The sequence below is a fragment of the Homo sapiens genome, chromosome 8 (assembly GCF_000001405.40).
Source record: "Homo sapiens chromosome 8, GRCh38.p14 Primary Assembly".
Taxonomy (NCBI): domain Eukaryota; kingdom Metazoa; phylum Chordata; class Mammalia; order Primates; family Hominidae; genus Homo; species Homo sapiens.
Genome location: NC_000008.11, coordinates 130,301,281 through 130,326,580, shown reverse-complemented (window position 1 = coordinate 130,326,580; position 25,300 = coordinate 130,301,281). Strand labels below are relative to the sequence as shown.

Sequence of the window (25,300 nt, the reverse complement as noted above, 5' to 3'; positions counted from 1 at the left end):
TTAAGCTTTTTTCAGGGGAAATAAAAATGAAAGTTGTTGCAACAGGAGTTCAGCAGTGTTGCACCAACTACCATTCCAGCACATCCAGTCTGTTCGTGGTGTGTATTGAAACCTGTATTTTATTTGGGGTGGAAATTGCTTGAGGCATTTCAACTTGTTTGTGCTTAAATTGGGGATCCTATTGCAGCACTGATGTTTTATAAAAGTTGTAGGAAAGTGTGGCCCTTACATTGCAGGCAGGTGAATTCACAGGCTTTGCAAGTCGGTGCATGAGTACTGTAATCATGATAGTAGACTTGTAAAAGCAAACTCCTGTTCTTTTGTACGTGAGCATGCTGGGACTTCTCTCATTTGTCGGTCTCCAGCAGTAAGGATATGCGCTGGGAAGTCGGCAGTGAGGCACTGCATTGAGAGTGAGGCATATCACATGCCACCTCCTCCTTAAAGCCTTCTCTGATTTCCAGCAACCCTCTACTACTTAGAACTATAGACGGTGGTTAAGGACACATGCTGTGGAGTCAAAAAGACCTAGGTTCCTAAGCCAGCTCCGCCATGGCAGTTTACTTAAATTTTCTCCATTTTCTCATTTGTGAATTGGGGATAATGATAGTACTTAAAACATCATTGTGAAGACAATAGAAAATTTCATGTAAGGTGCATAACTTACCACCGTTTCTGGCATATTTAGTACTCCCTAAAGCTTGTGATTACTGTTACTAATCATATGTTTTGTGGTCTCTTCTCGGAGCCTTGGTTTTGTCATCCACAATATAAGAACAAAAACATCTATCTCAACAGCAGTTTATAAGAAGTAGGAGAGACAGTGCTGGAAAAGCATTTAGCCCTGCCCTAACTTAGTCACTTGGCATTTCAGCATGTGGTAATTAATACAGTTATAACACTTCATTCTGTTCTATGTATGGTAACTAGTTGTTTACGTATTAGTGTCTCACTAAACTGTAAATAGAGGCTATGCTTTCCTCTTTGTATATCCCAAAACGCCTTCCTCAGCACAATAGCTGATCTTCAACTAGTCATTCAGACAGGTGTGTTTGAACTTTTAGATCACATAGTTTAAGAACAGATGTCTCTTACTTTGCTTATAGAGTGAACAAAATATGATAAGTGCTACAGATGTCTTTTTCTTAACAAGGATACTTGTGGTGTGGTTACCAAATTCACACGAGGCAAGCATAGTGTAGCACTGGTCTTTTCTCACTGTGCACTGTTTGAAGTTGGCCTCAGTGCTAGAAATCTGTATTACCTGAGCAAATGTTTAGGAATTCTCTTTGCTTTTGAATACGTTGAAAGAAAGGAATTCTTTCTCCAATTTGTTCAGCTCTCCTCCTAGTTAAAAAGAAACTACCATATTTGACCCCAAGAAAGAGTTAAATGTGAACTCATCTGAGTTTTCAGAAAAGGAAAGGTTGAAAGCTCACACATTAATTATTACTGCTGCTATTCTCTTCCGCCCCCCAGAATTTGTCAGTGGAATTTTGGTCCCTAAATGTATAGGCATGTTTGGGTTAGGGTAGGACATACCCCACCTCTGGAAGGGCCTGCAAGCAGGGCTGCCGGTGAGCAGCCAGTGTTCTGGGTTTTGGGGGTTCCTTGTTCTCAGTCACCTTTGCTTGGCTTTTGCAGAGCTCGGGGTTACGAGGCAGACTGTCTAGAGCCTCTCCTGCTTCTTGCACCAGATGCTCATGCACTGTGCCACTAGCTGAGGATGCAAGGGTGTGCTTTTGCTTTTCAAAAGAGGTGCTGTAAAAAATGAGTGCATGGTTAAGATGTGGGCCATGTGAATGTTCATTACAAGAACCTTAACTGTCTGGGTAAAACAGATGAAGTTGTAAGTACCACTGAAATTTCCCAGCCCTATTCTTGTATCCATAGACTTGGAGGCCTCATATTTTAATGGATTTTACGAATTATGCTTCCTAAATTGTTGCATAGTTATATTAGGATATAATTAATTCCCTTGAACACATCTGAGTCATCCATTGCATGTATTGTCAGTTCTTGGTTATTTGATGTCCTTTTTCTAAGTACTTGCCCAAGTCAGTTTGCCTCACTGTGCCTTAATTTCCTTTTCTGTAGAGCAAAGGGGTCAGACTTAGATCATCTTTAAACCTTTTAAAAAATTACTTCTTTGCAAGTGGATACAGCTCTCCAGTTGGTTAATGATATTCAACCTTTTCATCCCTACCTGCTTCCAAGACAGCCTTAGACAGTTTCGGCCATACTCCCAGACCTGCTGTTTCCTTACCCATGATGTTTACCTTCTCATTTCATTTTGTTAAAAGAGAAGTGAGCCTAACATTTCTGGAAGCTCAGTAAAGGTTAACAGCCAACCAGCCAGAGAAGTGGGGTTGAGTCATGATGCTTCTGGCAGGACCAGGGAGGCCCTGCCAGAACCGTCCAGATCTTCCTGATTAGAAACTCACAGGCCCTTTACAGAAAGTTGGCTTCTACTGATTTGATGATTGACTCAGAGGGTTTGGGTTAGTTGGTTTCTAACAGAGCTGGCAGGGAAGGAGAGGGGTGGCCCAATACATTTTGAGCCCCTGGAGGAATAGGGTGATAACTGAGGGAGTAGTATTGTTAGGAAGCCCTGGCAGCTCTGGGAGCCATGGGGCAAGAAAGGACAATTGCTCCTGCATCTGCATCTTTTTGTTTCTGGGTATTTATTTACAGATAAGTGGTTTTTTTTAATGCCTGGTAATCTATTAGGCAGTAGGATAAAAAGATGCCCTCAAGGATGTCTCTCAAGGCTAGAGGGGAGATGCTTATTGTTTATCAAAGATCTGCTGAGTGCCTAGCATTGTGTTATGGGCCTTACATACATAGTATGCCTAATTTTAATATAGTATGATAAATTCTTTGCAAGTGATGTCTGCAAAGGACTATGGGACCATAGAGGAGTGGAGGCTGCATTCTGGCTGGAAATGGGAATTAGGGGGAACAGACAGTAGAGGGAGGTAGGAGGAGTCAAAACGGTTTTTCACATGAGATAGAACTTTCAGCTCTTCTGCAGATGGCACTGGAAATGTGGTCACTTTCTTATCCAACATGACAGGGGACTGGCAGGTGGAAATCTGTGCCTTGAAATTACTTATATTTGTCTGATAGAGCTAGGTCAGTTTAATGCTGCCTTTCCCTTGTCTGATAGTGTTGGTTACAGTTTTAAAGGCTTATTTGTTCTTTTCAGAAAAGTGGCTAAAGAAAGTATGTTCCCTCTTGTTTCTTTACACTAGTGTTTAAAAACATCAAGAGTTTCTGTCCCTCCTTCTCACATCCCTAAATGAGTGTCCAGTCCGTAATGTTCAGGCTTGAATAGAACGGCATAGCAGTCCATTTGCCTCAGCATTAGGAATCTTGTCCTCCCCAGGAACATGGTGATGATCCAGAACGGAGTCTTAATACTACCATGCCATCAACAGGAGCAGTTGCTTTTGTTTAGGAACAACAGTTTCCTTCCATTTCTGTGCAGTAGTTGTCTGTAATGACTGGAGCACTGTCTTCACTCCAGCAGATGCACGATAATTTCATTGCATTGCCTATTCTGATCTTTTTCTCATCCAGTTTGATTCCACAAATGCCTAGTGCTTCACAAAGCCTGGATAGAACTGGTCCTATGGGTGTTTTGTTAGAAAGTTCCATCCGACACATGGACTTCCTTCTCCTCAAAGCCTTCTGCGTCTCCCTGGCCTGGAAATGATCTTTTCCCACTGCTCTCCATTGCAGGTCTTTGTATATCTCTCTTTGCTCTTACCACATTCTGCCCTTTGTTAGTTATACGTATGTGCATCCTGTCTCTCCTACCAGGTTGTAAACTCACTTAGGTAAGGACTGTGTTCTATACATGCTTCACAATCCCTAGCATGAGGATTTGCCATAATAAGCACTAAATGAATATTTGTTGAATCGAACTGAATCCAGATAGCATTATATTGAACTGAGTCCTCATCATTAAGTACAAAGGAATTGTTAGAAGGTCAGTAATGTTTACTTCCCCTATCTGATTCCTAGTCCCCAGTTCTGTATTTAATTACTTAAGATATATGTGCCATCTGCAGCCTGAAGGATTTGGCAGCCAGTGATTCAAATACAAGGTAAAATGAGGCAGTTTGGGATAAGATCAATGTAATACCTCTCTGTAGGAGACAGCGGGGACTCAAGACACCTGATTTCAGCAGATTGCAGTAACTCCATAATTTATTTGCATCTAAGAGAAGGAATCATGTTTAGTTACAGCATTTTCATTTTTTTTTTTTTTTAACCACAGATGGCATAAAATTCATCTCCAGAGAGACTTCTAACTAAACCTGAGTATGAATTTTTATCTCTCAGTTTCTTATGCAATTTTTCACTGCATACCTACATAGCCTTCTTTTGGAAGTTGTTTTATTGACTTTTAAATTTTGCTTTTGTGTGTTTTACTTGCTGCTTCTCTTGTCTTCTCCCCAGCTGATTTTTCTTAACAAAAAATCTCTAGAGATGAAGAACCGTGGCAGCACAGTAGCATCTTCATTACATTTATGATTTGCATTCCCAGCTCAGCACTTTGCAATGCATATTTTGCAAAGCAAGTTTAATTTGCTAGAAGTCAGATTGAGATTTAGCATCTATCTTTTTACCATCTGTTATATGCCAGGTATAATGCTGGACACTTGCACACTTATTTCATTTTATCATAGAAAATTAAAAGAGAAAATTATATGATTATTAAGAGCCTTGAATCTCATACTAGGGGAAGTAGTCCTCTGGGTTTTATGTGATGGTGGGATGAGATAACTGATGTTAAAAGACAAACGTGGTATCTTTCTGGCATATTAGTTTTACTCAGAGATTTTGAGTGGGAGGAGTGGAAGAACTTAGACAATTTAAGTGACTAGTAATCATTTTATATTTAAGCAACCATGGAAATACAAAGGAGTGCAAACTATGCACAAGTGTTGGTGATAAAACAGAGTCTTTATTAGGTTTATGTAGTTAGAGTAGTGAGTGCTTTAGGATGCACCCCCTGACTTCTAAGGGATACTTTGTGGAAAAGCTGGAGATTTCCATCTAGTAAGTACATCTCTCTCCTTTTTTGTAAATGTAGAAATTGAGGTCCCAGAGTTCACATTCCTATTGACTGAGGAGGGATTTTAACTCCCAACTCACTGATTGACCCTCACATGCCTGCTTCTTCTTGCCCTTTGGAATCTTTGGTGCTGAACCAGACCCTCATGTGTAAGCCCACATGGTCAAATGGAGCCGAATTTGAAATCAGTTGTACTTGCAGAGGTGGCAGAGTACCATAAATGAGGCTATAGAGTGGGTTGTAAATGCCAGGCCTGCTTCTTTGCAGTCACCTGTCTCTGTAGCCACTGGGGCTTATTCACTATAATCCATGTTTTTTTGGGGGCAGGAGATTGACAGCCTTTTGGAAGATTTAATTAGCTGCTCTTCCAGGAAAGATAGCTTAATATGCCAAAGATTAAACTTATTGTGTCTTGGAATCACAAAATTTCAAAATTGAAAGGATCCTTAGGTTTCCTCAGCCAGCATTCTTGATTTATATATTTGGGATGAGATAAAAAGGTTTTCTCAAATTTCTGGTTGTCTCTATTTGAAGTTAGATAGGTGGCTAGCCCGTTAGTTGTTTACTTGTTTTATTGTTCCTGATGTCTTTAACCGAAGACTGGGCATGTTGCACTCTTTGGCAAAGTAAACTAGGGCAATGGTGTTGATGTCTACTGATCTGATCAGTGGTTTGGGATAGATAATTTTACTCTTTTCCATTGGTAAATTCTACTTTCAGAGTAGCCTGTTAGAAAGGATGAAAAGCTCTGAATTTTCTCCATTTTTTTTTAATGTGATACTAGAGAGGAATGATACTTCTTCCTGGTTGTGTGGAAAGCTACATCTAGGTTGGTTATAATTTTCATTTTTAACTCTTCCTCCTTCATACAGCCCTAGACTTCTCAGTGTTTAAATCTAGGTGTCAGGCCTCATTCATATGTATGTATGTATTCTTTTTCTTTTTTTTTTAGACAAGATCTGACTCTGTCACCTAGGCTGGAGTGTAGTGGTGCTCGCTGCAACCTCCACCTCCCGGGCTCAAGCCATCCTCTCACCTCAGCCTACCAAGTAGCTGGGACTACAGACAAGTACCACCACACCAGCTAATTTTTGTATTTTTTATAGAGATGGGGTTTTGTCATGTCGCTCAGGCTGGTCTCAAACCCGTGAGCTCAGGCAATCCTCCCACCTCGGCCTCCCAAAGTGCTGGGATTACAGGCGACAGCCACTGTTCCTGGCCCTCTGTATTTCTTATGATCTTAAATCCTGGAGGCACATGACATATATGCTCATTGATATTCCATTTTGGCAGTGAATTTGATAGGCATGATAAATTTGGTTTTGCATTAAAATATAGTGACTTTTCTGATTATGAAAGTAATTTCCCTTTTTTATTTTATTTTTTAAAGAACATTGTAAGTAATTTCTCATTATAAAAATGTGGAAAATACAGAAAAGTACAAAGAAGATTGTGTGCTAATTTTGTGAATACTAATAGCATTAACTAGACAGGAATATGTTAAAATGTACTTTTCTATGCATTATATAGTAATAGTGAAGACTTTATATAGAACATGTAAATAATTGTATGAAGTAGTTAGTGTACAAAATAATGTCATATATGCAGCTGCATTTTCTGCCTTTTTCACCTAGAAAGTTTTTTTGTCATGTCATTAAAAACTTTTGCCCTCTGTTTTCATGACTACATAATATTCTGTTGTGTGGGTGTACCTGTCTTACTGCTTCACCTACTTTATTCATATTCCTGTTACTGATGTTGGTTTTTCCATCCCTCCGCTATTTTAATACGTGCGTTGCTCTGTTCATCTTTTTGATGATTCCCAGGAAGGGATCTCAGTAAGTAGAGTTGCTGGGTCTAGGGCTTTTGAACATTGCCCAGTTCCTCCCAGAATGCTTCCACCAGTGGATGCCAGTGTGTCCCATCTTCACGGATAAGGTAGGCTCTGACTCCCCATTCACAGGATTTGTAAATACTTGCTCTGTTCTGTGCCACTCAGTGTTCCCATAGCCCTGCAAGAAGGGTACCACACTACCTCATTCAGGGCCTGGAGCAATCCCCACCACCCCTTGAACTGGCTGCTTTCTCCCCATTTGGTTTTTAGTCTTCATTCACTAATACGACAGTCTGTCAGGGAAGTGCCAGGAATTTTTCTCAACATACTTTTATTCCTTTTTTTATTTTATTTTATTTTTTAAAGAACAGAAATGGCTCTCTTAAAATTAGTAGCAGCTGGGGGCTGGTTCTGGCTATGTGATCCAATGCAACAGTAACATAAATGAGGGTGCCATTCTATTTCTAGCTGCAGAAGCTTCCTTGCCATCTTAGTGTTCTTCACCAAGGTGCTCAACTAGCTCCCTTGCAATTTCTTCTCCAAATAACCACAGTAATTGCTACAGAGGAAGTGAAAATTGTAAAAACGCTTCAGAAGACTGACAGTGGTGCTGATTATAGGAGTGACTGCTTTTAAGTTCTAATAAATTGTTTTAATTTTCTTATAATTTCTACTCAGATAAAGCAGACTCCTAGCTTTTAATTCTGCTTCTAATGGGTTTTTTCCCTTCCCACTTCTCCTGTAGTAGGGCAGTGTTGCAGTGATGAGACCATCAGCTGAAGGCCCCATTGCTTTGTCCTGCTGATCTTTTTTTCCATTGGCCACTCCATTTGACATTTCCACTGACAATGTCTTATTTCTGAGATGAGGGGAAACGCTTTTTTAAGTGTCTAGTCTATATTTGAAGTTAGATGAACATGGACTGAACCCCAACTCTATCACGTAGTAGTTTTAAGGCCTTGGGAAAGGGACCTAACTGTAAAAGGAGGTGATAATACCACTTCACTGGCTATGAGGGGGATTAACCAGGATGGCCTGTTAAAAATGCAGAGAGCTGGCAGAGTGAACAGTAAATGTTTTAATTCGCTGTGTCATTTGCCCTTAGCTAGGCTGTTTCACCTGCCGACTCATTGTGTTGCTATGAAAATGAAAGGAGATGTTCGTGAAAATGTCTGGTATGGTATCTGGCACATAGTAGTGCTTGCCAATAGTAGTTCTCCTCCTTGTAGCTCTGTCTAACTCCATGGCACAGCTAATGCACCTCATCATAAAAACACTGGGCTGGGTATGGTGGCTAATGCCTGTAATCCCAACACTTTGGGAGGCCAAGGCAGGAGGATCACTTGAAGCCAGGAATTTGAAACCAGCCTGGGCAACATAGTGAAACCCTGTCTCTACAAAAGAATAAAAAATGAGCTGGGTATGGTGGTATGTGCCTGTAACCCCAGCCACTTGGGGGGCTGAGGTGGGAGGATTACTTGAGCCTGGGCGGTCAAGGCTACAATGAGCTGTGACTGCATCACTATGTTACAGTGAGACCCTCTCTCAGGAAAGAATAAAAATAAAAAACAACATCTGGTCCATGGATTCCATCAAACAAGTGCTATTCCTTTTTGTCTTGTCATAAAAACTCTCTATCAGTGGATGCTTTCTGCACGTCCATTTGCTAATAGTTTCCTGTTCCTTGTTTTAGCTATTTTGGTAAAAGTGACTAATGGTGCAGCAACCATTTCTTCACCAGCCCTTCCTCAGCTCTCCTCTCCACTCCCTCCTCCTCAGGATTATAGGGTCCTTCTTGCTGCTGTATCAGGTCTCAGCTCATTAGTTGTTTGAGGAAAGGGCCTGCCATGCCATGTTCATCACTTCAGCCACAAAGGATGGCTTTTACTCAGCAATCATGTGCTGAACATCTGCTACATTCCACTCTTAGCACTAGTGAAACAAACGCGTAGCAACAGAGCCCCAGGCCTCAAAGCTCACAATGGAGGTAACTGGTTTCCAGGTTAAGTGCACTAAACTGTGTGGAAGGTGTTATGATAGTACCTCTACAGGTTCTGATGGAAGCATCAGTGATGGATTTGGCTTTTCCATTTGGGAGAGGAGGCTATAAAAAACCTTCCTGGAGGACGTGGGCTCATTCTGATTCACAGACAGGTCCAGCCCCTTCACTTCTTACTTTGAACTACTCCATCTGGAATCATAGAAACTCATTAGCAGCTAAGTGAGTCGTAGACCCTGTTCCTACAGTTTCAACAAACCCTGATGGTGGCATTTCAGTTTATCGTAGAGGTTTCTTTTCCCCTACAAGGGTCATTCTCTCTTGCCCAATTTTGGCTGAGAAGGGAGGAATATCATGGCCGTTTTGGCTGTATGGTGTTACTGTATAATGATATGGGGATTGGTGAGTGAAAAATAAAATGAACCCTCACTTGCTTAGGTACCAGTTTTATGTAAGAAGAAACTCACAGCTTTTGCACATTATTTGAGATTTGCTTCTTCTGTTTAACATATTTGTGGTACTTTCCTAAAAAGTTTTGTTATAGACAGCTGTAGAGATTAAAAAAAAAAAAAAAGCATGATGTGAAACTAAAAGCAAAATAGGAATGAGTCTCAAGGTGTATAATGTACCAAATGATAGTAGGGCCTGGAACATTCAACAGCATAGCCTGTACTGACATAAGGTTAAGAAACATTGGCCTTCAAGTCACTTTAGACTCTTCTTAATGAGTTGTCGTGTTGGAGAGCCTGCACCGCATTTTGTTATTTGCCATTAGTTGATCTTTGGCCAGTATTAATTATTTACATTGAGCTGCATATTACAGGGGGAAAATCCCAAATAAACAGAAGCTTAAATGCGATAGTTTATTTCTCTCTCCTCTAAAAGGAACTTAGACATAGGCCTGGAATGCCAGGTTTGTGGCGTCCTTTGGGATTCAGGCCTCCTTCCTTTTGATCTCACCTTCCTCAGCACATGACTTCCATCCTCAAGGTCACCTCTCAGCTTAAGATTGCTGCCAGAGCTCCAGCTGTCATTTCTGAGATGGAGAATCTAAAATGGAAGGGCAAAATTGGGCTTTCCCAGCTGAGCCACTTCTTTTCCAGAACCCATATAAATAACACTAGTATTTATTGACCACATTTGACTGTAAGAGAGGCTAGGAAATGGAAACTTGTATTTTCAAAATATTCTGGTAAAAACCAGGATTCTAGTACTAAGGAGATGGGGAGAATGGATGTTGGGGCAGCACATCAGCAGTGTCTGTCACAAGGCCACATCAGGAATACTTGGAGTAGAAAAGAGATAAAGCTTAGTGAAGTGAGGAGGTGGAGAAGTTGATGTTTACCAATATGGATACCAAAACTGCTGAGAGTGATGTTGCAGTAGAAAGAATTGTGATTAGATGGAAAAGTTATTGAAGTATTAGTGTCCTGGAGCTCAGTAGAGAAAGATGGTTGGCATAGCCCTCAGAAGAGGAGACTGGTATGAAGATGGCATAATAGTGGTCACAGGTGAACTTGTGGATGGGAACAGACAGTAGAAAAGGGACAGCATTCTTTGAGAATAGGTCTTGAGGAAAGGGAATACCTTTTAAGCTGAAAAGACGGAAGTGCTTTTCTCTCCTAGCCATGGAATAGATGATGAGTTGGTCCTCTGCAGAGAAGGGACCCGAAGGGCACAGGCGAAGGGAGTGGCCAATGCCAGTGGGAAGATGAGCCATGAAACCAGGTAGAGGGAGTAGATAAGTGGGATTTATATCTAGGCCTAGGCTAGTAGCTGTATTACCAAGAAAAAAGGAAGCTAGCACTTGGAAGTTAGGGAGAATGGGAATGATGGATGGGCAGAAGTGTTGTGAATTGGTTTGGGTGCTCAGTGTTGCTTTTTTTCTTTTGCATTTTCCAATTTCCTCTGTACGCCATACACTGTAATAGTCATTCCATTTAAAATTGCAGCTGGGTAGACCAGATATTGCTAGGGGGCATATCTGTCATTGAACTTGGGAAGCAGGGGACCCTGCTAATGGAGGCACTCCAGACACCTCATGGGAGCACAGCTGGGAAGCAACAAGTGGTCTATTTCTTGGCTCAGCCTAATTCAGACTCGCCTCTTCTCCTTAGAGAAAGGAAGAGGAGCCTCTTCCTTATGCTCTGCTCAATGTGTAGGGTTTTTCTTCCTATTTGTTGCAATTCTGAACATTATTAGTGGATAGTCCTGGTTTTGAGACTTACCCCTGCCTTAGACCCCCTGTTCCTAGCTCTTATTTCCTGGGACCCAGTTTCATTTTTCTCTTTCTGGATCTCAACTCTCATCCCTGACAGGGCATGATCATTATGTTATATGATCTCTCTTGGTTATATACAAAGAATGTACCAGTTTGTGGAGTATTCATAGACTTTTTTTGGTTTTGTTTCTTCTTCTTTTTGTAAATCCTAGAATGATCCCCTCCCATGCCACCACCATGATTTGGGACTGCCTACTATTTTCCTTGTGAACTCTCCCTGCCCAATTGATATGTAGTATTTTTTGCTTGTTTTTACTTTTTGATATGTATTATTATTTCTGTTGCTGTAGTGTTTTGTGGTTTAATAGAGGCTCTTGTCACATTTTCTCCACTAATTGTCATAGTAAAATTGTGACGGGAGCAGACAGTAGTTGTTACTTATTTACAAATCGGTAACCGAAATTCAGAAAGGTCACCCAGCTAACTTGTGGAAGACCTGGGGTTGGAACCCACTTTTTCTCTCTCTCTCTTAAAGTTCAGAAGTTCAGAGTAAGCAAATGAATGTTAATTATTGGCCTGAACAAGATCTAATTAAAGTGGTCAGTCTGCTGTGGCTGAAGTAGTTGTCTGCACATCCCGACCACATCTAAACCAGTCTTGGATTGTTTAATGTTTAGTATCTGTGGCTTAGCTCCCTTTCGTTTGCACCAGTTAGAGCATGTAGATGCCACAGCAGTTCCATCCTGACCCTGTGAAGCACGTTTTTGCAGGTCCCCACCTTGCAGGTGCCACTGGGAAGCGCAGCATGCTGTGGTTTGGAAAGCCTGCCCAGGCATTGGTACTGAACAGGCCTGGCAATCTGTGTTTCCTAGTGTGGGTATTAACTCTGTTATCCTTGATACAGCACTTAGTATTTCTGGGCCTTCAACTCCTCATTGTGAAATTGGGGTAGAAACAGGTAGTTTTTGGACAATTTGTTACCTCTGCAAACCTCAGTTCCCTCTCATCTGTAACATGGGCATGATGATACCCACTTTGTAATGTTTCAAGATTAAATAAACTGCTGTATAAAAGGAGCTCAGTGCCATGCCTAGCAATACAGCTGGTGCTTAACAAATGTTCCACCCTTTTCTTCCTCCTCCTCATCATTTCAATATGTTTTGAGAGCATCATAAAAAGTGGTATGAAGGTTAAAAAATAAAGTCAGGGATGTCACAGTATGAAAGTTGTTGCCCCTCCAGTAGAATTAATATGTGGGGTGTAAGTGGGGGGAGGAAGCTTACCTTTTTGACCCCAAGTGAGAGCCTTGCATGATTGTTTTCTTAAAAATGGCCTTTTCTGACCAAATTGAAGGTGACGCATTCTAGACTTTCATTTATAATGTCCATTTACATGCAGTACTTCTATATTCAGATTGACTTCCTGTCACACTGAGTGATTGGTGGGCTGCTTGCCAGCCTAGGGGTGGACTGCAGCAAATTGTGTGTGAGGGAAGCCAGCAGTCTGCAGGGCTGAGCTGAAGTGGGGAGAGGAGAAGAGCATGGGACGTGGTGTCGAGTGCAGTGGCATTGACTGCAGACAGGCTGCTGCTTTACACTGGGGGATTCATTCCCTTTCCCCCAGTAAAGACTGTTAAAATATCAGAACTGATAGTATAAAGTCATGAGTTTTTTAGTTCATGCAGAATGTGGATCATGTCTGAGATAAAAATTCATAAGATTTTTGAATATCCTGGGGCTGATGGTTTTAGGCAGTGAAGTTAATTTAATTTTATTTTTTATTTTCTGTAGCTGAAACGTCTGCTTTTCTGTGAGGACGTTGATTATGTGTTCCACTGCCAAAAGAAGTTTCTCATTTTCAAACTGCAGCTCCCCTAGTTGGGCAATATAACTGTAATTTGAGAATCCCACAAGGGTAGTCTGTTACTCGGCAGATAACCCTACAGTAAATTTGCATGAAGGCATTATTTAAAACAGTTTTCTTCTCTGACCTATTATTGCACAGCAAAATAGCAGTTTCCTTTCTAAGGTAAGAGATTTGGAAGGAGGACTCAATTTATACGTGATCTCATTGAGAGTGAGAGCTGCAAAGATGAGGAAAAGAAGTGGACCTTTTAAAAGTTTTTTTTTTTTTTAAACGGTTATGTTATTTTATTTTGTTGAAGGCAGAGGATATGTTTTATTTTAGGGACCCACCAGAATTGCTTAGAAATTATCTGCAGGCTTTAGGGATTTTTGCTTATCAGTATATTTCATTTGCCCCATTGTTCAGCCCATCCACCACCTCCTTCCATTTGTTCTCAGAAACTAAACTAGGAGAACATAAGCACTTGGTTATGTGAAAATGTACTTATGATTCTTCCATGAAAACCTAAAGTATTAAAAACCCAACAGTTCACTTGTGTTCTTTCATGAACAGGTATGTGCATGCTATGATTGCTTTCATTTGCCAAGTCATTTTTTAATTTAATGAGCTGTCACTCTGCTGTCATTGGATCAGTTGTAGATGAGGGGACACCTTTTGGCCTTCATTTGATGTCTTTCTCACGTGCTTATTCCCTCATCTTGTTTGGTTGAAAATCACATTGGCAAAACCAAATCCAGAATGCTAGGGTATGACTAAATGGTAGAACAAGCTAAGCAACTATTTCTAGGGGGGAAAATTTCTGTGCTAGGCTTTGTTACTACAGTGGTTGAACATGGGCTTTAGAATCAGAAAGATCAGTTCAGATCCCCACATTGGAACATAAAAGTTGTGCTATCTTGATTTAATTTCCTTTAGCCTTGTTTTCCTTACCTATAAATAGAAATTATAATAGTACCCACCTGTAATGGTTGGTTCAGTGAGATAATGCCTGTGTATGCCTTGGGCCTGGAAATGTCCCTAATGCAGAGGACATTCACTATCAAAAGGGAGAGAAGGCCCCCTGGAGTTGCTACGGGTTGCAGTATTTTTTTTAAAACCAGAATTCCTAATGGGTTTTTTTTCCCCTCCTTTTAGTGATATTGTATTTTGCTTAAGTGTGTTAGATTTAGCTCTCGTCTGGTTTGTGTTCAAGCTCCCTTTCAAAGGTGCCATCAGTGCTCAAGGCCAGGGGTTCAGCTGCAGGGATGGTGGATGGTAGCCAGCTCTTTTAGGCATGGTACTTTTTTTTTTTTTTTTTAAAGACAGGGTCCTACTCTGTCACCCAGGCTGGAGGGCAGTGGCGTGATCACAGCTCACTACAGCGTCGACCTCCCAGGCTCAAGTGATTCTCCCACCTCAGTTTCTTGATAGATGAGACTACAGGAGCACACCACCACACCCAGCTAATTTTTGTATTTTTTTTGGAGAGACTGGGTCTTGCTATGTTATCCAGGCTGGTTTTGAACTCCTGGGCTCAAGTGATCCACATATTTACAGTGGTTGGTGTTCATTTAGAATTTAATGAGGTGAACAAGAGTATATTTGCACCTACATGTTCTAGGCTGAATTCGGATCTTCTCATTTAGAAGGAGTACAATTAATAAATCATTATGGATCGTATTCAAATTACTATTTTTTTTTGAGTTGTTTTTGTTTACTTAAAAGTAGATTTTTAACCATCTAGCTTGACATACTATTATTATTTAGCCTAAAATCTTTGCTTTCTATAATTATAAGTAACCTATATCACTTATTTTGCCTTTTTTTTTTTTTTGAGACGGAGTTTCGCTCTTGTTGCCCAGGCTGGAGTGCAGTGGCGCGATCTCGGTTCACTGCAACCTCCGCCTCCCGGGTTCAAGCGATTCTCTTGCCTCAGCCTCCCGAGTAGCTGGGATTACAGGCATGTGCCACCATGCCCAGCTAATTTTGTATTTTTAGTAGAGACAGGGTTTCTCCATGCTGGTCAGGCTTGTCTCGAACTTCCAACCTCAGGTGATCCTCCCGCCTTGGCCTCCCAAAGTGCTGGGATTACAGGCGTGAGCCACCACACTGGACCCTATTTTGCCCTTTTTAAGTACTGGCTTAACGAGTGAAAAAGATGCATGTGCACTGAAAAAAGACTAGGAAAAGATAGAATACAATGCCAGTAGAGATTGTCTCTATGAGACAGCATAGGCTATTGTTATTTTAGACGTAAATTTCTCTACTTTTCAAAATTACCACCTATTTGGATACCTTTTCTTAGTTTTATAAAATATGGCCATTGGGGAAAACTTGAAAATTGAGCAAAATACAGAGAAGAGAATTTTAAAATGACCCATGATTCCACCACTCAGATAACTACAGATGGCATTTTGGTGCATTGCACTTGTCACTTGTAGTCAGAACAGCAAATGTGCTTCATTTTCCAGGCCTGCAATTTGTTCCTTTTGCACACATTTCTGACAACCTGCCCTGGACTGCGTTCTCATAGAATGGCTGTCCTCCCCACTGTGGGAGCCCTTGCTGAGCCTAACAAATAAAGCCTCCTTCACAATAGAGCTAAAGAGGAGCTTCATCAGAGAAACACTGCCGCCTTAGTAGATACTGGCCCAGGTTGGTCTTGAGTCCCAAACTTGTACAGTGGGTTCTCAAAGTGTAACTTAAACATTATGTTGGCATCATGTTAAGCTTGTTTATTTATAGTAAAGCTCAAATATATAGGGAAATGGAATTGTTCCTGCATTGAGCCCATTCAGAAAATTTTCTGTCAAGTTTGGGCAGAATTTAAAGACTATTTCCTTTGGTGGGCATGAAGTAGTACTGTTTAACATGCTTGCTCAATAAAGTTTTCAGACTTTTTTTTTTTTTAACTAGAGAATATGTGATTTGGTGATTGACTCTATAAATAGTGTGACCCATTTTTAACTAGATTGCTGATATGTTTTTCAGCAGGACTTTGTGGTTTAGTTAATGAAATCTTTTCAGGGATGATCCTCTGAGCCTTCTGTCTAGTTACTATCACTGCTGTTGCTTTTATGACTTAATTGCCTTTGTGGTTTAATTCACTTCATGACACATCTATCACCATGAAGTTTAGACTCTTCACCCCTATCTTTCCGAGTATTTGCTTGATGACTCCTGGGGTCAAGGAGAGGTTGATAGGTGGTTTTATGCTGTTAAAAATAAGTGGTCTTGGCTAACTTATCACTTAGTTAAAACAGTCCTTTTAATTTTAATTAATGCATTGAAGCTACTTCTTCCTCATAATTTTCTACTTCATAATTCTGTTGTCTGAGCCCATAACAATGGTTATTTCTATTATTTGTAGAGAATTATAAAGCTCTTTCATATTTGTTCTACCATTTAATCCCTCTATCTTTATCTCCTCCCCTCCCCTCACCCCCCTCCCCCCCCCAAAAAAAACTGTATTAGCCCCATTTTGTAGATGAGGAAGCTGAGACAAAGAAATCATAGGCAAGTATGCCAGGTCGGTATGGTTAATGTATGGTAGAACTGGGAATTTCTACTATAGAAACTGGACGATTGGGATATTACGATTTAGAAAAGAGCCTCTGTTTTTTTATTGTCTGCTATTACTGAAATTACCATAGTGTTAACATCATAAAAATATGTCTAAAGACTCATGCTGAGTTCTGGATTTTGACAGATTTTCAACTAAACCTAGGAAATTTGCTTGGTCAGTCTTTGATTTTTGTGGACATGGTTGGGAGTTCACCTGGCAGTACAGCTTGTGATTAAAAGTCCAGTTTTAGAGGAACCAAAATCTGTTCTTCCTTTAGAGCCAATCTCTGTTTGCATTGAGTTTTCTCATTTTCCCCTAGCCATGAATGAAATATCAGGAAATTCCAAATGCATCTCAATATCAGAACTGTCTTCTTTGTGCTACCCTCTGCATAGCACTCCTCGGTGGCTGCCCTTTGCTTCTGTGGTGAGAGCCGCATGTGGTGGTGCAGCCCACAAGGCCGTCCTGGTCACGCCTCTGTCTTGCCTCACTGCTTATCTTGCCTCATCTGCAGCAGCAGTTGCATACCGTGCCTCATCTTATGATGTGTCCATTCATGTCAGCCCAGCTATCTACTTGTTCATCTCATTGATTCTGCCCATTGTTGAGGACTTAGTCTAAGTGTCATAGCACCCAAAGTCTTCTCTGATACCTTGCCACCCATCACCTCTCTGTTAGTCAGGATGAGTTAGTTTTTCTCCTCTGTTGTTTTATAGGAAATTGTGTACCTCTGTCTTAGTACTTATTCATTCTGTTGAAATTAATTGCTCACCTGTCTCTCTGTGTCCACCATTTGACTCCCAAGACTGAATTTCGTAAAAAGGGACTATGCCCCAAAGCAAGCATTGTGCTTTTTAAAATAGTAGGCACTCCAGATATTATCAAATGGATAATCCCCCTGCCTAGCCCACTCTTTGATGGATAGGTGCTTCAGGACATGTTTGGTGAAGTACTGAAAATCTAAGGCTACCCTGGTCAACTCTCACCTCTTTTATTATGCGTGTAAGTCATTTGTGGTGTGGAGCATCAGGCAAATTTAAAATACCAACTGGCTCCCTTTCCCTCAACTGCCCGTGATAGTTGTAGACTCTTCATTGTCATTCTTTTTTTTGAGGCGCACACCACCGTGCCCAGCTAATTTTTGTATTTTTAGTAGAGACCAGGTTTTACCATGTTGGCCAGGCTGGTCTTGAACTCATGACCTCAAATGACCCACCTGCCTCGGCCTCCCAAAGTGGTGGGATTACAGGTGTAAGCCACCATGCCTTGCCTCTTCATCATCATTCTACAGGCCCATTTCTTATTAGTTGATATGTACTGAGGGAGTTGAAATTATGTTTTATGTCTGTCAAAAATATAGATGTTGAAAAATTAAATCTATTGTTGAAAAAACTTTAAAAATGATTTCCGGATTCTCCATGTTTGGGATTCCCTTCCTGATGCTAATGTTAATTGCTTTCTTCCTTGATGCTAATGTTAATTTGACTATAAACTATTGTTTTATCAAAAGATCTTAGTTACACTTACTCAATTTTTGCTTAAGATACTACAATTATTTTAAAAAGAACATCCGTATCTTATTCTAAAGGACTGAATTATTTTTGTATACAGACATACATACAGAATAAAAAATGTACAACTTGATTTTAGTCTGTTTGATTTAAATTTTATATATTGAGTAGTTCACCCCTGTCTGCCTGTATTCAGGTTTCTTATTTTGATCATAACATGGGGTTGGGTTATTTTCGAGTTTGGAGTTGAGAATCTTATTTTTATAATCCAGTGGGAGAAAACACTCAAGTATATTTTGAATTGGACAACTGTGAAAATCTTAGCTTATAGAATCTAAGTTTGGAGTAGACTTTTGAAGTCATAACTTATAAAATTTATCACTAAGATGGATAGTTATGTGCATTTAAAATATTTCTATAATAATTGAAGGAGCTTGTGATAACATTATAAATTCAAGAATGTTTTGCTAGAAGCAAATTGACTATGGGTTTTAAAATGTAAGCATTTCCTAAATTAATTCTATGTCAGGAAATGGAGACAACTTTTGAGGAAGGAAGCTGCTTGCTGAGGCTGTGCAAACATTATTTCTCTCAAGTGTATTTTAACACTAAAGTTAAAAATCCATTTTATATATTAGGAAAGGCAACTTAACCATAGTAGAAGGAGTAAGAAATTTGGAGCCAGAAATTCCTGATTTCAAGCTCCGCCATCACCGGTTACTCCTTTGTGACTTTGGACTAGTGTTTTGACTTTCCGCAGGCTTTTGGTTTTCTCATTGGCAAATTAGAGCGTGGGAATTGGGAAATGGAGGTGCTTATCGCTGTTACTCCTACCTCACCAAGCTGTTAGATGATCACTTGAGAGGTGGAAGGGAAACATTTAAATTGTCCAGCACTATGCAGATGATGTGTATCTTTCTCTCATAGAAAGGTGGTTACCTGTTGGGTGTTGGGGAGAAAAAAGTAAGAGAAAAACTAGAGGCAGGTGGCAGGTAAAATTTTACCACTTTGCTCTGGATTGCTAGACCCATTTGAATCACTGGAGGAGGAACAACCATCCCTAGTCTACTTGGCGTGGCTTAGACCTAAATCTGTGGGCCCCTTGCCATAGGTTGTACATATTATAGATTAACAGTTCCCATTTTGAGTCCCTCTTTATTTTTTGCCACAGGATCAGATAAAAATCTGTGACTTATAGTTAAATATTATTTCCTGAATACTTAATTATATTCACTTATTCAAGAAATATCAAATGGAGCACTTACTGTTTTATAGTAATTGTTCTGGGTGTTGGGGATTACAGCAATGGAAAAAGCACAGACAGAATTCCCTTCTTCATAGAGGGTACATTGTAGAGGGAGACAGATAAAGCAAAAAAATGTAAAATTAAGTTCAGGTACTGATAACTTTTATGGAGAACACAAATAGGGTGACTTGATAGAGCGAGGGTGGAAAAAACTTAGTAAGGATTGCCCAGAGGTATCTCTTTAAGGAAATTATATTTGAGCTGCATCCTGAGATGTCAGAAGGAGCCAGAATGAGAAGAGTTGGCCAGGCACAAGTGCTCCATACTGAGGGAGCTAGTACAGACACTCAGACCTGGGTGGAGTGAAGGAAACATGTTTCTAGTTTGTTAGGCTCTGAGGTCTCTGGCCTGAAATACTTAAATTTTTAATTGGAGGAGAAAAGCACCATAGAGATAAGACAGAGAGATGGGGAATACAAATACATGTTAAGTTACATGGTCCGAGCATTGTGAGTATAGCTGAAGAATTTATGTGGTCCATTGGTATTTACTTAAAGTTTACCCTAAATATATGAATGAAATGGCTTCCTAGCTCCTTTCATCCTTACATCTGCTAATTTAACCTTATGCAGAGAGCTGAGTTTGTTCCGCTTGTGCCCTAAGGTTATTAACATCTGTCCCTTAGTCTCTCCAGTAAAAAGTTTGAGAGGAAACAAAGAACCAGCTCTACTTAGACCTTTGACCAATTGATCATGTGGATCCTTGGGGGCTTTATGTTAATGTCAATGGATAAGGTATTCTCTTTGCCTTTGAATTGATTTTGTGGCTTTAAAAAAACATTTATCAAAGACTAAAGGGGTTGTCAGTGTGGGGAGAGGGACATTTAAAAAGGAGCTATTAATCCAAGTGACTGGAAAGAAGTCACTTATGTGCATTTACAGTGACTTGCTAAATAGAAGTCAGGAAATATTTGAGTGAGTGAATGACTTGCTAAATGATAATACTTGTAGTGAAAGGTAACACCTTCTAAGTGCCTACTCTGCTAGATTGCCTGCAGTATCAAGGTGTTTCTATACATAATTTTCCCTGAATCTCTCTAAGAAACCCGTGAGGTTAGTATTACTATCACCATTCTTTATATGAAAAATTTATGGCTTAACTAGTTAACCTTCTTGCTGAAGGTCTCATAGTTGGTGGCTGAATAAATTTGGACTGAGGACTTTATGATCCCAGAATCCTAGTTAATCATAACAAGTCATGACTTGCCCTGATGATGTTGGAACTGTAAGTAAGGGACATTGAGTGAATATTGTCTGGGGGAAGAAGTGATGAATAGGAGTAAGGAGATCTAACCTAAGAGCTTAAATAGTGATGTGAAGTTCTTGGCACTAATCCTTAAGATACCTCTCTTAGAGCCTTGAGGGGGTGCCAGTGAAACAGCTGGTAGTAAAGTCCATTTGAGTGGTCCAGTTTTGGAGTTGCTTAAGGGTCAGATCACTTTCTATTTCTGACTTAAGGCTAGTGTAACTGATCTGGTCTTTAGTTTTCTCGATTTATAAAATGGAGATGGTTAAGTGATGGATATAAAAATGAATGAATAGGCTGGGAGTGGTAGCTCATGCCTGTAATCTCAGCACTTTGGGAGGCCGAGGGAGGAGGATCACCTGAGATCAGGAGTTCTGACCAGAACCTGACCAGCCTGGCCAACATGGTGAAACACCCCCTCTACTAAAAATACAAAAATTAGCCAGACATGGTGGTGGGCGCCTGTAATCCCAGCTACTTAGGAGGCTGAGGCAAGAGAATCGCTTGAACCCGGGAGGCGGAGGTTGTGGTGAGCTGAAGCTTGCGGTGAGCCGAGATCGCACCACTGGACTCCAGCCTGGGCAACAGAGCAAGAGTCCGTTCCAAAAACAGTGAACGAATCTTTCATTAATTGAGTACCTACAATGTGGCAGGAATTGTCTAAGCACTATGGATAGAACAATGAGAAAGAGACTAAGAAGTATGTGCATTGAATTTGTTTTTTAGTGGGGACAGGCAGTCAAGAAATAAACAGTATGTTAGGTGTCAGTAGGTGCTATGAAGACAAAAAGAGAGGAGATACAAGAGAGAATGATTGTTGGGCAGTGTGGTAGCAGGAGGGGAGACTTCATGAGCAAACTTAAGTTGTGATGGAGTTTAGCTGTGGGGGTCCGACAGCACGAAGGTCCTCAGGTAGGTTCATGCCTGACACATTCACGAAACAACAAAAGGAGGTCATGTGGCCAAGGTGTAGAGCGTGTGAGGAAGAAGAGGTTGGAAAGGTGGCAGGAGCCAGATTATGCATGGCCTGCTGACTGCTGTCAAGACTTTGGCTTTTACTCTAAATAATAGGGAGTCTTTGGAGTTTTGTTGTTTTGGGTTTTCCATTTGTTTGTTTTGTTTTGTAATTTTGAGAAAGACAAGCAGCACTGAATTACCATATTTACACTTAAAACGGATCCCTCTGGCTGCTCTGGAAAATAGATTGTGAGAGTATGAGGTGGAAAGAGGGTGCCCAGTTAAGAGGCTGTTGAAGTAAGTAGTTTAGGTGAGATCATCATTTAGTTGGTGATGTACTTCCTGTGTAAAATTGAAAACATCACACATTTGAACAAGGTTGAAATTAAACATGAGATTGTCACATACAACCACTGTCACTGGGGTGGGCAGATGCATAGAAGACTATTGGTTGTGTAAACGTAAATTGGACAGCGTGTTTCAGGGAGTGCAGATGCGTGAAGGTTGGCTTTGAGCCTCTGCTAGACTTGACCAGGTTCATAGGTTAAAACTGTTTTTATCTTTATTCTTTCAATATATTAGTATTACAATAGAAGACTTAGAGAACAATTGAGGGGGGAAATGATGTTCCTTTTTTTAGGGTGAATGTGTCAGACTTTCAAAGATGACTCTTTGGATATTAGGTGTTCATATCTACTTAGAACTGGAACAGAAACATAAAATATACAAGGCGTTCTTTTCCGGGCAGTATAAAAAAATAATATATAATCAGTTCTAACATAAGATCTAGGAGCCGTTTCTTTTTTTAAGCCAAAAAGGCAAAAAAGACTACTCCATTAATCCATGTTTCTCAGTGGAGATGGAATGATTCAATTTGTAGAGTTTTTTTTTAAAGAGCAGTTTTAAATTTACAGAAAAATCGAGCCAAAAGTCCAGAGTTCTTATGTACCGTCTCATTTTGCTACCATTGCCACTGTGGTTTTCCCTATTGTTAACATCTTCCATTAGTTAATAATTAGGTAATAACATCTTACATTAGTTAATAATAATGTATTGATACTGATTCATTAACCATGACAAGGGTGCCACACTAATGTAAGTTCATAGTGTAGTTCACTCTATGTTGTACATTCTAGGGATTTGACAAATGTGCGATGATATGTATCCTCTGTTACTGTATCAGAGTAGTTTTAGCAGCACTAAAAATCTCCTGTGGTCCACCTAGTCGTCTCTCCTTCCCTCATCCTAAACCCCTGGCAACCACTGATCTTTTTGCTGTCTACATAGTTTTGCCTTTTTCAGAATGTCATATAGTCAGAGTCATAAAGTAAAGTATGTAGCCTTTTCAGATTGACTTTTTTCACTTAGCAGTACGCATTTAAGGTTCCTCCATGTCTTTTCCCAGCTTGATAGGTCATTTCTTTTTATATAATAATATAAAAATAATATTCCATTGTCCAGAAGCACTACAGTTTGTTTATCCTTTCAGGTAATGAAGGACATCTTGATTACTTCTCTGGAAACATTTTTTGGTCACCAACTAAGTGGTAGAGGGGATACTGGCAATTAGTTGACAGAGGGCAAAGATGCTACTAAACACCCTGCAGTACACAGGAGACCCCCGCAACAAAGAGTCATCCAGTTCAGAATATCAGTAATGCTTGAGGTTGAGAAAGCCCTAGTCTAAATATATCTTAAATAGTATAAAGAAAGTATTTTAGGCATACACTTATAGTTTTGCTGTGCTAGAATAGTTGGAGAATCTCAGCCTTACAGCAACCCCAGGAGCAAGGTGTAATACAAATTCCATTTTGTAGCTGAAGAAACAGTCTAAGATGTTAGCATGCTTCCTGTCATTCTGCTAGTAAATGGCCAAAGCCAGGATTCAGACCTGGAGCCTCTGTCTCCAGGCTCAGCATACACAGGCACCTCCAGGTGTTTGTGGTTTTCCCTTCTGCCTTAGGTATGGATTCTTTGGTTTTTAACCAAACAAAAACCAGAGTACTCTTTTTTTTCCCGTGGTGACTTAAATTTCTTGTAATTGTTTTTATTTCAGTTCTCTTGAGTACATACCAGGTCTTACAATGTTGTAGAAACAGCAAAGAAGGAGAAGACACGATCTTTCCACAGGAAGAAGAACTTTCCATCTGATTGTCTTCTGGAGTTCTTATTTCTTCATAGTTTTCTCCCCTTAGAAGTGATTGCACCAGAAGATAAAGGTACATTGGTACATGTCCTCTGGTGATTCAGCTCCTCCTAGCCCCAGAACCAAAAGCCTCTTTTCTCCAGAGAACCGTTTGTTTAATGAAGCTAATGAAACTTGAGATGTCCCCACGTGCCCCTCCCCCTCAGCTGGTGTCTCTCCAGGGCTTGGCTGCCACCTTTGGCCTTCTTTCTATGGCCATTAATCTAGTGCTCCCAGCAGATGGCAGCTGATCTGGATAAAGAACTTGGTTGTTCTTTTCAGTGCCCATTAGAGGCCTGCCCTCTCTATCTGTTCTTCCTGTTTGCCATGAAGAACAGCTGGCCGTGTTGGTTTAAAAGCCAGAATTTTTATTTGTTTGGAGTTTTGCCTCTTCATTTTTAGCATTTCTCTCTCATCTCTTTCTGCCTTTGAGATAGCTGTTCACAGTGCCACATTTTCTGTGTCTGTGAAAAAACGAGCCCCTTAACCTCCAGTACACACCATAGACATACTCACCCCCTTCTAAAATATTTATTCTTTTAGCAGCCCTGGCTGGTTTCCATTGTGTTTATTTAATCTTTCAAGAATTTTCTTATAAAAGACTGGACAATCAATGCCTTTTTACTGATTAAGGTGAAAAGTTGTACATGGTTTTTCAAATATTTGTGCAAATGAGAGAATGTATGAGTCTTTGCATGCATGCAGATATTATACCTAATGTTAGACTATAGCTGTAGGCAGATTATCTATTTACCTGTCTTTCTCTCCTTTTGGAATGCTAACTCTTAAAGCACAGAGAATATTAGTAGTTGAGTACTTACCAAGTAGCAGGCTCTGGGCTCTAGATTTTGGGGACACCCCTGCCATCGTGGAGGTTACAGTCTTCTCATTACAACTCTGACCCAGTCATTCTACTTCTTTGAAGATTATCCTGTATGCAAGCTTTACTTAGAATTGCAGAAAGAATGAGACATCCTTAGTGGTAAACATTAATGAAATCTACGAATAGATACTCTCAACAACAATGCATATGCATATCTGTTGACATGGAAAGACAGTCGTGTTGTATTAACTGGAAAACAGCATGATATAAAACAACACAGAAAGGATGATCCCATTTTATGTACCTATAAGGAAATATTGTAGGATATATTTCTGGTTACATTAGTTATTTCTGGTTGCTAGAGTTTAAGGACAATTGGGGTTTTTTGGGTAGTGAACATGTGATTTATATTTAATCAATATATAAAGAAATAGAGCAAGAAAAAAACACCACTGCCATGATTATTCAGATAGGCAGACTTTTTTCATTCATTCAACCACTATATATGGAGTGCAGCTATATGCCAAGCACAAGGCAGAGAACACAACATGCTACAGAAGTCCATGCCTTTAGAGCATTCTAGAACACAATTTACATTAAAATGCTACTAGGTAACAGAAGGAGCAGCAGTGTATGTGGATTAGAGTCACCTCAGGATTTCCATCGTTTCTCAGAACACACTGTTTTGTTTGTGGGTGGAATAAAGGAGGCTGCCATGTTCAG

General features: G+C 40.2%; 1 protein-coding gene across 22 annotated transcripts in view, besides 2 other annotated features; it reads left to right on the top strand.

Moving 5' to 3' along the window:
- The window catches only part of ASAP1 (ArfGAP with SH3 domain, ankyrin repeat and PH domain 1), a 391,571-nt gene that overhangs the window by 117,094 nt on the left and 249,177 nt on the right, over positions 1 to 25,300 (top strand). The window lies entirely within an intron of this gene.
- Positions 9,100 to 9,159: an enhancer, noted in NCBI's record as "active region_27985". NCBI's record gives its function as "activates an Ori minimal core promoter by ATAC-STARR-seq in GM12878 lymphoblastoid cells {active_cell/tissue: GM12878}" and the evidence as "EXISTENCE:reporter gene assay evidence [ECO:0000049][PMID:35858748]".
- Positions 15,295 to 15,796: an enhancer, noted in NCBI's record as "NANOG hESC enhancer chr8:131323031-131323532 (GRCh37/hg19 assembly coordinates)". NCBI's record gives its function as "activates a minimal SCP1, AML or CMV promoter by ChIP-STARR-seq in naive H9 embryonic stem cells {active_cell/tissue: H9 hESC(naive)}" and the evidence as "EXISTENCE:reporter gene assay evidence [ECO:0000049][PMID:30033119]".